Raw genomic sequence first — 13,001 nt, 5'->3', positions numbered from 1 at the left:
GATGCGTAATGAGGAAGCAGTATGACGAGTCTGGATTTCCTCTGGGTTAAGAGTATCTAGCCTCTGCTTCTTCCTGGCAAATCCTTACAAGGCTAGACCAGAATTGGGATATGGTCAGATGAGAGCAGGCCTAGAGTGGCTGGTAGAGGCTGACTGCTTTAGGCTTTTGGGAGAAACACTCTTCTCTTGATAATACTCTTTAGGATCTAATTGGCCAAGATAGTCAATATTGTAAGAGAGAGAGAGAGAGAGAGAGACTTGATGTCACCTAGGCTGGAGTGCAATGGCACGATCTCGGCTCACTGCAACCTCCGCCTCCCAGGTTCGAGCGATTCTCCTGCCTCAGCCTCCTGAGTAGCTGGAGGTACCCACCATCATGCCCAGCTAATTTTTGTACTTTTAGTAGAGATGGGGTTTCACCATGTTGGCCAGGCAGGCCTCGAACTCCTGACCTCAGGTGGTCCGCCTGCCTCGGCCTCCCAAAGTGCTGGGACTACAGGTGTGAGCCACCACGCCCGGCCTGTAAAAACAATATTCTTGGTTAGTATATAGTCCAGTCCAGGGCTAGCGGTTCTACATAATTTAGTACCAAACCCTAGTGGTCAAAGAGTGTTTTTTTTTGCATGGAGCGTTTGCCTCTTGAGTGCTTCCCTTGAAACTGTGGTGGGGCTAGCCAGTGACTCTGATGTCGTGGCTCCAAACCAAATATTTTCGCATGTCTTCTCATCTGAGAGATGAGTTATCTCTTTAGTTTAGCTTTTTTTTTTTTTTTTTTTTTCTTTTTGTTTCTTTCAGCTGACAACTTACAGACATTTGGGTAATTCAGCAGTTTAATATAATAAACATTTTATACCCTACATATTTTTTCCTGCTTTTGGAGAATGGAATGTACATTGATCCATTTTAAGATATTACAAAGGCATTTTAATAAATAGCATTGTTTTCTTTTAAGAAAATTGAGTTTTGTATGAGATTTAAAATGAAGACTCTTTACAAAGTAAATCAGCTGAGTTTTGAGCATTTTAGGTGAATTAGTCATGTATTCCTCGACCTCTGCTTGTGTGTTCTTCATTTTTTATACAACACACGAAAGAGGAGGCCAGCAAGGTTTCGATCCTTTAGGAAGTTGGATCTAATTAGGAGGTAGGACTAACATACACGAATGACTAGGGAACCCAGTAGCCATAACATGTATGACATCAGGTACCAGCTTGTGATTTCTCTGCCAAAAAATACAAAAATTACAGAAAATACAAAAAATAGCCAGGCATGGTGGCATGCACCTGTAGTCCCAGGTACTCAGGAGGCTGAGCAGGGAGAATCGCCTGAGCCCAGAAAGTTGAGGCTGCAGTGAACCGTGATCACACCACTGCACTGTAGCCTGGGCGACAGAGTGAGACCCTGTCTGCAAACAGAATTCTGAGAAGAATGGTGTTTTCATGATTATTGTAACCTTTCCCTCTGGTGTGTAGAATGTGTTTTGTATTTTTATTTTATTAGGCACGGGGGCATCTTGCATCTACCCCTTACTTGGAGCAACCTTGAATGGCTGGTATTTCCTCGCAACAGAAGTGGATGATATGTGTTTCAACTATGCAAAGAAAAATGTGGAACAGAATAACTTATCTGATCTCATAAAAGGTTAGCGCCACAGAATGAATGCCTCCAAACTTTGTGTCTTCACCTGCCTTTTTAGTTTAACGCATTTCATTACCTTTTTCTTTAATACACAGACTTCGGTAATTTAAAAAAATCTGGCACTTTGTAATTGGGTTTGCTGTCTTGATACCAGAATTAACTCAGAAAATAGTAACTACAGTTGATCCTTATGATTTGTGGATTCTTTTTTTGTGAATTTGCCTATTTGCCTAAATTTATTTATTTATCCATTCATTTATTTTAGTAGATTTTCTTGAATAAATGTTTCTTTATTCGCTATAACCCCTTAGAAACATTTCCAGAGACTTTAAGTGGGGGTTTTTTGTTTGTTTGTTGAGTTTATTTTTTAGGGCATTTTTAGGTTCATAGCAAAATGAAGTGAAAGGTTCAGAGATTCCCTGTATATCCCTGCCCCCACACACGCATAGCCTTCTCCATTATCAGCATCCCCCAACAGAGTGGGATATTTGTTACAGGTGATGAACCTATGCTGGCACATCATTATCACCCACAGTTCATTCTTTACATTACGGTTTCCTCTTGGTGGTGTACATTCTGTAGTTTTGGAATAATGAAGCTGACATGTATCTCCCAGTACGGTATACACAGAATCGTTTCACTGCCCTGCCGTCTTCTGTGCCTCAACTGTCCATCTCTCACTGCCCCCAACCCCAGGAAACTACTGACCTTTTTACTGTCTCCACAGTTTTACATTTTCCAGAATGTCATATAATTGGAATCATACAGTATATAGACTTTTCAGATTGGCTTCTTCCACTTAGTGACATTTATTTAAATTTCCTAATGTCTTTTTATAGTTTGATAGCTTTTTTTTATTCTTTTAATTTTTTTTTTCCTGCTGCCTCTCTAATTGCAGAAAGCTCATTTATTTTTAGCACATTTCATTTTGATATTCCATTATCTGGGTGTACCAGAGTTTCTCCATTCACCTATTGAAGGACATCTTGATTGCTTTCGAATTTTGACAATTACAAATAAAGTTGTGAGAAACATCTGTGCGCAGCTTTTTCTGTGCATGTAAGTTTTTGACTCCTTTAGGTAAATACCAAGCAGTGTGCTTGCTGGATGGTATGGTAATAGTATGTTTAATTTTGTAAGAAACCACTAAACTGTCTTCCAGAGTACTGTTTTGCACTCCCAGCAGCAATGGATGAAAGTTCCTGTTGCTCACATCCTTGCCAGCACTGGGTGCTGGGTGCTGTCGGTGTTCTGGATTTTGGCCGTTCTAATAGGCGTGTAGTGGTATTTCATTATTTTAATTTGCATTTTGCTGATATTCATGTGGAGCATCTTTTCATGTGCTTATTTACCATCTGTATATCTTTTTTGGTGAGATGTCTGTTCAGGCCTTTTGCCCTTTTTTTTTTTTTGAGACTTAGTTTTGCTCTTGTTCCCCAGGCTGGAATGCAATGGTATGATCTTGGCTCACTGCAACCTCTGCCTCCTGGGTTCAAGCAATTCTCCTGCTTCAGCCTCCTAAGTAGCTGAGATGACAGGCGCCTGCCACCACGCCCAGCTAATTTTTGTATTTTTAGTAGAGATGGGGTTTCACCATGTTGCCCAGGCTGGTCTCAAACTCCTGTCCTCAAGTGATTCTCTTGTCTGGACCTCCTAGAACGTTGGAATGATAGACATGAGCTACTGCCCCCAGCCAAGCCCAGCTTATTGATCCCTTCTTATTTTTATTTTTTATTTTTTGAGATGGAGTCTCGCTCTGTCGCCAGGCTGGAGTGCAGTGGCGCAATCTCGGCTCATTGCAAGCTCCGCCTGCTGGGTTCACACCATTCTCCTGCCTCACCTCCCGAGTAGCTGGGACTACAGGCGCCCGCCACCGTGCCTGGCCAATTTTTTGTATTTTCAGTAGAGACGGGGTTTCACTATGTTAGCCAGGATGGTCTCGATCTCCTGACCTCGTGATCTGCCCGCCTCGGCCTCCCAAAGTACTGGGATTACAGGCGTGAGCCACTGCACCTGGCCATTGATCCCTTCTTTTAAGGAATGGTATACAGTACTGTTGGTATTATATCCAAAAAGTGCTGTAATCTCAGCATGCTGGGAGGCTGAGGTGGGTAGATCCTTCCGGTCAGGAGTTCGAGACCAGCCTGGCCTATATGATGAAACCCCCATCTCTACTAAAAATACAAAAATTAGCCAGCGTGGTGGCGCATGCATGTAATCCCAGTGACTCAGGTGGCTGAGGAACAAGAATCACTTGAACCTGGGAGGCGGAGGTTGCAGTGAGCTGAGATTGCGACGCTGCACCCCAGCCTGGGAAACAGAGCAGGACTCTGTTACTTTCTAGGAGTTTTATAGTCTTGCATTTTACATTTAGGTCTGTGATCTGTTTTGAGTTAAATTTTGTGAGGGATATAAGGTCTTTGTCTAGATTCATTTTATGCATGTGGATGTCCAAGTGATGTGCCAGTATCAGTTCTTGAAAAGACTATATCTATTCTCTTCTGTTGATCTATTCATTCACTAAAAACATACTGTTTTGATTACAGTAGCTTTGTAGTAAGTCTTAGAATTGGGTAGTGTCAGTTTTTTAACTTGCCTCTTCTCTTTCAGTATTGTGTTGGCTATCCTGAGTCTTTTGCCTCTCCAAATAAACTTTACAATTAGTTTATCAATAGCTAAAGTGTATGTATATGTTTGTATGCATGAAGGTATTTACTTATTTAATTTTAGAGACAGGGTCTCACTGTCACCCAGGCTGGAGTGTAGTGGTTCACTGTAGCCTCAACCTCCTATGTTCAGGTAATCATCCAGCCTCAGCCTTGTGAGTAGCTGAGACTGCCAGTGCGTGCCACCACGCCTGGCTAATTTTTGTGTTTTTTTTGTAGAGATGGGGTCTTACCGTGTTGCCCAGGCTGGTCTTGAACTCCTGGGCTTGAGTGATTTTCTGGCCTCAGCCTCCCAAAGTGCTGGAGTTACAGGCATGAGCCACTGCCCCCAACCTAAAATTTATTTTTAACTTAAAATTGACATTCATGGTACTTTTGTGGTCATTCACAGACTTGTGCATAGTGGCAAATAATTGGAGTTGCCCCAGTGTGCATGTTCCCAGCTGAGGCTCAACAAGGCAATGCTCTGCCTTCTTACTCCAGCTTCCGGACTGTGAACCAAGCGTCCTTTTATTGGTCTATTTAATACCACGTTTTGGGGTTTTTTTTTTCTTTTTCATTTTTGTGCTTTCTCTTGGTGATTTTGCTGTTTAAAATAGTCCCTAAACATAGTGCTGAAAGGCTGTCTTGTGTTCCTCAGTGCAAAAAGGCTGTGATGTGCCTTACAGAGAAAACACGTGTGTTAGACAAGCTTCCTTCAGACGCGAGCTGTAGTGCTGTTGGCCATGAGTTCAGTGTTAGTGAATCAGCGACATATATTCGATAAAGTGTCTTTGAACAGGAACACCATAAAATAAGGTTGTGTGTCTATCAGTTGATGAAAATACGAAGAGAGACTTGTAGGAACCTAACCCTGTATTTCCCCTGGGAATCAGTGGTTCAGTATTCACTCATTGACTATTTGTGGCTACTTTGTAGAATATAACTAGCGCAGATAATGAGAATTGACTATATATGAAGTAACTTAGTCACCAAGATTTTAAAAGGAAGGAAACCCTACTGTTGATTAAACTATACCATCTTTTTAATTTCAGTACATAGGCCGGGTGCGGTGGCTCACACCTGTAATCCCAGCTCTTTGGGAGGCCGAAGCAGATTGTCTGAGGTGAGGAGTTTGAGACCAGCCTGACCAACATGGTGCAACTCCATCTCTACTAAAAATACAAAAATTAGCCAGGCGTGGTGATGGGCATCTGTAATCCCAGCTACTTGGGAGGCTGAGGCAGGAGAATCGCTTGAACCCAGGAGGCAGAGGTTGCAGTTGAGTGGAGATCTCGCCGCTGCACTCTATCCTGTTCTACAGAATGAGACTGTGTCTCAAAAACAAATAATAATTTCAGTACATAGAACTGTGCTAGAAATAGTCAAATCCCCTTGTGATTAGTTACTTTTTATTTTTGTGACCATTCTGTGTATAAAGCAGTGTTAATTTTTTTTCCGTTAAAGAGATTTTATGTCTCTTTATGAAAGAAATAAGACTTTTCTTCATAGTATTGAACATATCTTTGTAAGGGGAGACATTAATATTATTAGTGCATTTGTTTTATTTCTCCATTGTTGTGTAACAAATTATTCCAAAATCTAGGAGCCTATTTATTTATTTATTTTTATTTTTTATTTTTTGAGACAGAGTCTTGCTGTGTCGCCCAGGCTGGAGTGCAATGGCACAATCTGCTGCTCACTGCAACCTCTGTCTCCCAGGTTCAAGTGATTCTCCTGCCTCAGCCTCCTGAGTAGCTGGGATTGTAGGTGCCCACCACCACACCCGTCTAAGTTTTGTAATTTTTTAGTAGGGACAGGGTTTCACCATGTTGGCCAGGCAGGTCTCGAACTCCTGACCTCAAGTGATCCACCTGCCTCGGCCTCCCGAAGTGTTGGAATTATAGGCATGAGCCACCATGCCTGGCGCTAGGAGCCTTTTAGAAAAAAAAAACACACACACACAACAACAAAAAAAAAACATTTTTTTATTAGAGACAGGGTCTCACTCTGTCATCCATGCCGGTGTGCCGTGGCGTGATCATGGCTCGCTGCAGCCTCAGCCTCCTGGGCTCAAGCAGTCTCTCACTTTAGCCTCCCAAGTAGCTGGAATTACAGGCTCGTACCACCATGCTCAGATAATTTTCTTATTTTTAAAATTTTTGTAGAGATAGGTTCTTGCTGTATTGCCCAGGTTAATCTGGAACTCTTGGTCTCAAGCAGTTCTCCCGTCTTGGCCTCCCAAAGCACTGGGATTACAGGCATGAACCATCACACTTGGCCCTAGCAACTTTAAACAATAAACATTTATCTCCTAGTTCCTATGGGTCATAAATTTTGGCATGGCTTAGTTGAGTGGTTCTAGCTGAGACCCTTTGATGCATTTGCGGTCAAGTTGTTGGCTAGAGCTACAGTCATCTGAAGGATGTATGGGTGGTAGAGATTTGCTTCCAAGATGGCTTACTCATGGCTCACTCACACGACTCTTGGAAGGAAACCCTAGTTCATAGCCATGTGGATCTCTCCATGAAGCTATTTGAGTGTCCTTAAAATGCAGCCTATACTTAAGGGGAGGGAAATTAAACTCCATCTCCTGAAGGGAGTACTGTCGAAGAGTTTGAGGACATACAGTCACACCTTACTTAACAGCAGGGATATATTCTGAGAAATGCATTGTTAGGTGATTCATCGTAGTGTGTGCTCACACACACCTGAATGGTGTAGCCTACTACACACCTGGGCCTATGTGTAATAGCCTGTGGCTCCTAGGCTATAACCTGAACAGTATGTCACTGTATTGAATACTGAAGGCCATTTTAGCACAATGGTATTTGTCTATCTAAGCATATCAAACATAGAAAAGGTACAGTAAAAATGTGGTGTTATAATCTTACGGGACCACCATCATATATGCAGTTGACCAAAGAATCATTACGCAGTGCGCGGTTATACTTTAGAACCACTGCAACATTAATATTAGTTCACAGTCCTGTTTTTTCTCCTAGTGGTGAAAGTGCCACAGAAGACACTCCTGATGGATGCTCTTAAAGAAGAATCTGAGATAATCTATGACTTTTGCATGTGCAACCCTCCCTTTTTTGCCAATCAATTGGAAGCCAAGGTAAAATGTCTTCTGCTTTAAAATAATTGAATATAGGCTGGGCGCGGTGGCTCACGCCTGTAATCCCTGCACTTTGGGAGGCCAAGGCGGGTGAATCATGAAGTCAGGAGTTTGAGACCAGCCTGGCCAACATGGTGAAACTCCGTCTCTACTAAAGATACAAAAAAATTAGCCAGGCGTCATGGCCCATGCCTGTAATCCCAGCTACTTGGGAGGTTGAGGCAGGAGAATCGCTAGAACCCGGGAGGCAGAGGTTGCAGTGGGCCAAGATTGCGCCATTGCACTCCAGCCTGGGCTACAGGGCAAGACTCTATCTCAAAAAGAAAAAAAAATCTAAATTTGCCTTATTTGCACAGATAAGAGCAAAGAAAACTTTAAAAAATTAACTTACTATTTTTTAAATTAATATATTTGAGATGAGGTCTCGCTGTGTTGCTCAAGCTGGTCTTGAACATCCGGACTCAAGCAGTCCCCCGCCCGTCAGCTCCCCTAGTAGCTGAGGCCATAGGCGTGTGCTGCAGTGCCTCGCTTTTGAAAGCTGTATACCAGTTAGGGGGCTTTTGGTTTGAAGTACTTTCGGCTCTCTGTATCCACAGGTCCTACACCTGTGGGTTCCGCATCGTGGATTCAGCCAGCCATGCATTGAAAGCATTGGGAAGCTTGCACGGTGACTCACACTTGTAATCCCAGTACTTTGGGAGGCTGAGGTGGGTGGATAGCTTGAGCTCGGAGTTCAAAACCAGCCTGGGCAACGTGGTGAAGCCCTGTCTCTACAAAAACTACAAAAACAATTAACCAGGCACTATGGCGTGTGCCTGTAGACCCAGCTACTTGGGAGGCTGAGGTGGGAGGAAGGCTTGAGCCCAGGAGGTGCAGGTTGCATTGAGCCAGGATCGTGTTACTGCACTCCAGCCTCGGTAACCCTGTCTCAAAAAAAAAATATTTTGGGAAAAAAAGAAAACAAAAAAAAATAACAATGTAACAATGAAAAATAATACAAAAATACAGTATCACTATTTTTACATAGCATTCACATTGTATAAGGTATTATAACTAATCTAGGAATTATTGAAAGTATACCAGATGATGTGGGCAGGTGAAATTCAAATCCTACCCCATGTGATAAAAGGGACTTGAGCTTCCTTGGATTTTGGTATCTAAGGCAGATCTTCCTCAGATACCGAGGAGTCCTGTACCTAAAAACCCAATTTAGATTGACTTAACGACAAAGAAAGTTCATTGGCTGACATATTTGAGAAACCCAGCAGTAGTTGGGATTTCATAATGACTTGATTAAGGTGTTGGCAGTATTAAGAGCTCTGTTTTTCTCTTGGCTGTGACTTGTTCTATGGTTGTTTTTGTTCTTAAGCTGGTTTACTTGTGGTACAGCAATATTTAGAGGGTGGGAGGGTGAGGAGAGAGCTTTTTTCTTCCCTAAACCATTGAACATTTGATTTTCTTCTCATTGGACCAACTCAGGTCATAGTCCACTCCTGGACTGAGCTTCTTGGCTTAGGAAGGAAATCAATGTTTTTACTGTTAAGTGGCTTTTTTTTTTTTTTTTTTTGTGACAGAGTCTTACTCTTGTCACCCAGGCTGGAGTGTAGTGGCGTGATCTCAGCTCACTGCAACCTCCACCTCCCAGGTTCAAGCAATTCTCCTGCCTCAGCCTTCTGAGTAGCTGGGATCATAAGCGTGCACCTCCACGCCCGGCTAATTTTTGTATTTTTAGTAGAGACGGGGTTTCGCCATGTTGGCCAGGCTGGTCTCAAACTCCTGACCTCAAGTGATCTACCTGCCTTGGCCTCCCAAAGTGCTGGGATTACAGGTGTAAGCCATCACACCCGGTCAACACTTCTTATTTGTCCTTTTTTTTTTGAGGTCGGGGGGTGTGGGGAATGGAGTCTTGTTCTGTTGCCAAGGCTGGAGTGCAGTGGTGAGATCTCTGCTCACCGCAACCTCCACCTCCTAGGTTCAAGTGATTCTCATGCCTCAGCCTCCTGAGTTGCTGGGACTCCTGGTGGACACCACCGCGTGTGGCTAATTTTTTTTGCATTTTTATTAGAGACAGGGTTTTACCATGTTGGCCAGGCTGGTCTCGAAATCCTGACCTCAAGTGATCTGCCCACCTTGGCCTCCCCAGATGCTAGGATTACAGGCATGAGCCACCATGCCCAGCCTGATCTGTCTTTTTTTTTTTTTTTTTTTTTTTTTGAGATGGAGTCTTGCTCTGTCGCCCAGGCTGGAGTGCAGTGGCGTGATCTCGTTTCACTGCAACCTCTGCCTCCTGGATTCAAGCGATTCTCCTGCCTCAGCCCCCCGAGTAGCTGGGACTACAGGCGTGAGCCACCACGCCCAGCTAATTTTTTGTATTTTTTTTTAGTAGAGATGGGGTTTCACTTTGTTAGCCAGGATGGTCTCAATCTCCTGACCTCGTGATCCTCCCGCCTCGGCCTCCTAAAGTGCTGGGATGACAGACATGAGCCACCGCGCCCGGCCTGATCTGTCTTTTTGATTATAGCCATCCTAGTGGGTAAAAAGTGGTATCTCACTGTGGTTTTGATTAGGATTTCCCTGATGACTGATGATGCTGAGCATCTTTTCACGTGCTTATTGGCCATTTACATATCTTCTTTGGAGAAATGCTTATTCATATCTTTTGCTCACGTTTAAGTTGGTTTGTTTTTGTTTTTATTATTAAGTTGTAAGCATTCTTTATAAGCAAGTTCCTTATTAGATAGTGATTTGCAAACATTCCCTTCCTGTGGGTTGTCTTCTCACTTTCTTGACGGTGCCCTTTGCAGCTCAGAAGTTTTTAATTCGGATGAAGTCCAATTTATCTGTTTTCTTTTGTTGCTTATGCTTTTGTTGTCATGTCTCAGAAACCGTTGCCTAATCCAAGCTCATGAAAATTAATTTTCTTAATGAAAATTAATCCAAGCTCATGAAAATTTATAGTTTTAGCTTTTCCTTTTAGTTCTTTGATGAATTTTGAGTTAACTTTTCATATGGTATGAGGTAAGGGTGGATTAAATATTTAAATGTGAAAAGCAAAACCGTGAAAATGCTAGGAAAAAACAAGTAAATATTTGTTTAATCTTTGGGTGGATCTTCTGTACAGGAGAAAGAAAGCATAAAGAAAAAGTGACAGATTGGGCTTTATAAAAAGGTAAACAATTTTCATGTTTAACCACAAAAATGGAAAGTAAAAGACCTGGGAAGAAATAGTTGCATGAAGTAGCTGTTTGAAATAAAATATTTTAGTGGCTATGATTTTAAAATCCTAAATCTAGCATACTATTTGGAAAGTAAAAATTGCAACTAAACATTCTAACTTAGAGATAGATTACATTCAAACTTGGTTCTTGGGGTGTACACATTTTTCACCAGGGTTTTTTGTTGTTTTTCAGGGAGTAAACTCACGAAATCCTCGAAGACCTCCGCCTAGTTCTGTTAATACAGGAGGCATCACAGAGATCATGGCAGAAGGAGGTGAATTAGAGTTTGTTAAAAGGATCATCCATGACAGTCTACAACTTAAAAAAAGATTAAGGTAAGTCTGTTTTTACAACATAGAGTCCATCTTTACAACACAGGAATATTTACCCGCTATGTAGTTCTCTTTTTTTTGGTGGCGGGGGACAGAGTCTTGCTCTTGTTGCCAGGCTGGAGTGCAGTGGCGTGATCTCAGCTCACTGCAACCTCTGCCTCCTGGGTTCAAGCTTTTCTTGTGCCTCAGCCTCCCAAGTAGCTGGGATTACAGGCACCTGCCACCTGTAATTTTTGTATTTCTAGTAGAGACAAGGGGGTTTCACCATTTTGGCCAGGCTGGTCTGGAACTCCTAGCCTCAGGTGATCTGCCTGCCTCGACCTCCCAAAGTGCTGGAATTATAGGCATGAGGCTCTGTGCCCGGCCTCCCCTGTGTAGTTCTAAAACAAACTATGTCACTCAGAGCAAAAGTAATCCTAGTGCTCAGAAGAACAAGCAGATAAAGATTGCAGGCTGGGCGTGGTGGCTCACACCTGTAATCCCAGCACTTTGGGAGGCCGAGGTGGGCAGATCAGAAGGTTAGGAGTTCAAGACCAGCCTGGCCAATATAGTGAAACCCTGTCTCTACTAAAAATATAAAAATGAGCTGGGTGTGGTGGTGGGTGCCTGTAGTCCCAGCTACTAGGGAGGCTGACGCAGGAGAATCGCTTGAACCCAGGAGGCAGAGGTTGCAGTGAGCCGAGATCATGCCACTGCGCTCCAGCCTGGGTGAGAGAGTAAGATTCCTTCTCCAAAAATAAAAATGAAAATAAAAATAAAGATTGCAAAGGTAGTGGCTCCTACAATCTGCGAAGACTGTGTTTCTGAGGATGTTCCATGCCTTTAATTGATTAGTGTTTACTGTAATCATGTATATTACATAGACAGGAAAGAGGAAAATACCGCATGATTGTATTGCTCCCATTAGGATGGTCCTGTGATAGAACAAAACGGATTCAAATATGGCTTTTGATTAGAAAACAGATGGGTTCAGTTCTGTCCCATGAACCAGAATAAATTTGTTGCCTCGTCCTTTCAGCAGTTTAGGTTCTTGGAATCAGTCTCCCAGTGACAGATGTGAGGACATTGAGCTGTCAAGAACTTAATGAAGGGAAACTGAGATCACTAACCAGTTGCAGAGGAGGGTTAAGGCCATTCCTTTTGAAAGCTAATTATTTTGGACAACACACCTGTCATTAAGCAACATAAGGTACTCAAAAAGAGCTATTTGTCTCGCTTGACTTCTCACCCTGCCACATGTTGTTGAAATGATGGATAATATGGTAGTTCAAAAACTAAAAGAGCTTTCAATCCAAGGATTTAGCTTTGGGACATAGGGAAGGTTTTATTTATTATTATTATTGTGGTAAATACACGTAACATAAAATTTACCATCTGTATTAGTCCATTCTCACACTGCTATAAAGAAATACCTGAGACTGAGTAATTTGTAAAGAAAAGAGGCTTAATTAGTTCACAGTTCCACAGGCTGTACCGGAAGCACGGCTGGGGAAGTCTCAGGAAACGTACAATCATGGCGGAAGGTGAAGGGGAAGCAGGCACATCATTACGTGGCCAGAGGAGGAGGAAGAGAGGGAAGGAGGAGGTGCTACACACTTAAACAACCAGATCTAGTGAGATCTCACTCACTGTCACCAGAACAGCAAGGGGAAATCTGCCCTCAGGATCCAGTCACCTCCCAGCAGGCCCCGTCGCCAACACTAGAGATTACAGTTTGACATGAGATTTGGGCGGGGACACAAATCCAAACCGTATCGCCATCTAAAATTTTAGAGTATAGTTTAGTAATGTGAAGTACATTCTCACTGTTGCACAAGCAGTCTCCAGAACTCTTCATGTTTTGTAACTGTAACTCTGTACTCGTTAAATCCCTCCTATTCTCTCCTTCCTGAGCCCCTGGCAACCATCATTCTGCTGTCTGTCTCTATGAACTTGACTACTCTAGGCACTTCATACAAATGGAATCATACAGTATTTGTCCTTTTATGACTGGCTTTTTTCACTTTTCGTCATGTTTTCAAGGTTCTTCCATGATGCAGCATATTTC

At 42.7% G+C, this 13,001-nt stretch overlaps 1 protein-coding gene across 5 annotated transcripts in view; it reads left to right on the top strand.

The window, feature by feature from the left end:
* The window catches only part of METTL16 (methyltransferase 16, RNA N6-adenosine), a 96,174-nt gene that overhangs the window by 36,724 nt on the left and 46,449 nt on the right, over positions 1–13,001 (top strand). For 3 of the 5 annotated variants that reach the window (XR_007065448.1, XM_047436697.1, NM_024086.4), the window contains 3 exons: positions 1,501–1,641; positions 7,289–7,404; positions 10,815–10,957. Coding sequence is in view for 4 of the 5 variants with exons in the window: in NM_024086.4 (NP_076991.3) it covers positions 1,501–1,641; positions 7,289–7,404; positions 10,815–10,957 (400 nt within the window). In the remaining variant the exon portion in view is untranslated. Of the gene's footprint in view, positions 1–1,500; positions 1,642–7,288; positions 7,405–7,925; positions 8,112–10,814; positions 10,958–13,001 lie in introns of those variants that run through there. The other 2 variants (XM_047436698.1, XM_024450928.2) reach the window with 2 other exon arrangements.

The sequence above is a fragment of the Homo sapiens genome, chromosome 17 (assembly GCF_000001405.40).
Source record: "Homo sapiens chromosome 17, GRCh38.p14 Primary Assembly".
Taxonomy (NCBI): Eukaryota; Metazoa; Chordata; class Mammalia; order Primates; family Hominidae; genus Homo; species Homo sapiens.
Note: the sequence above shows the minus strand (reverse complement) of the source record. Positions and strands in the feature narration are given on the sequence as shown.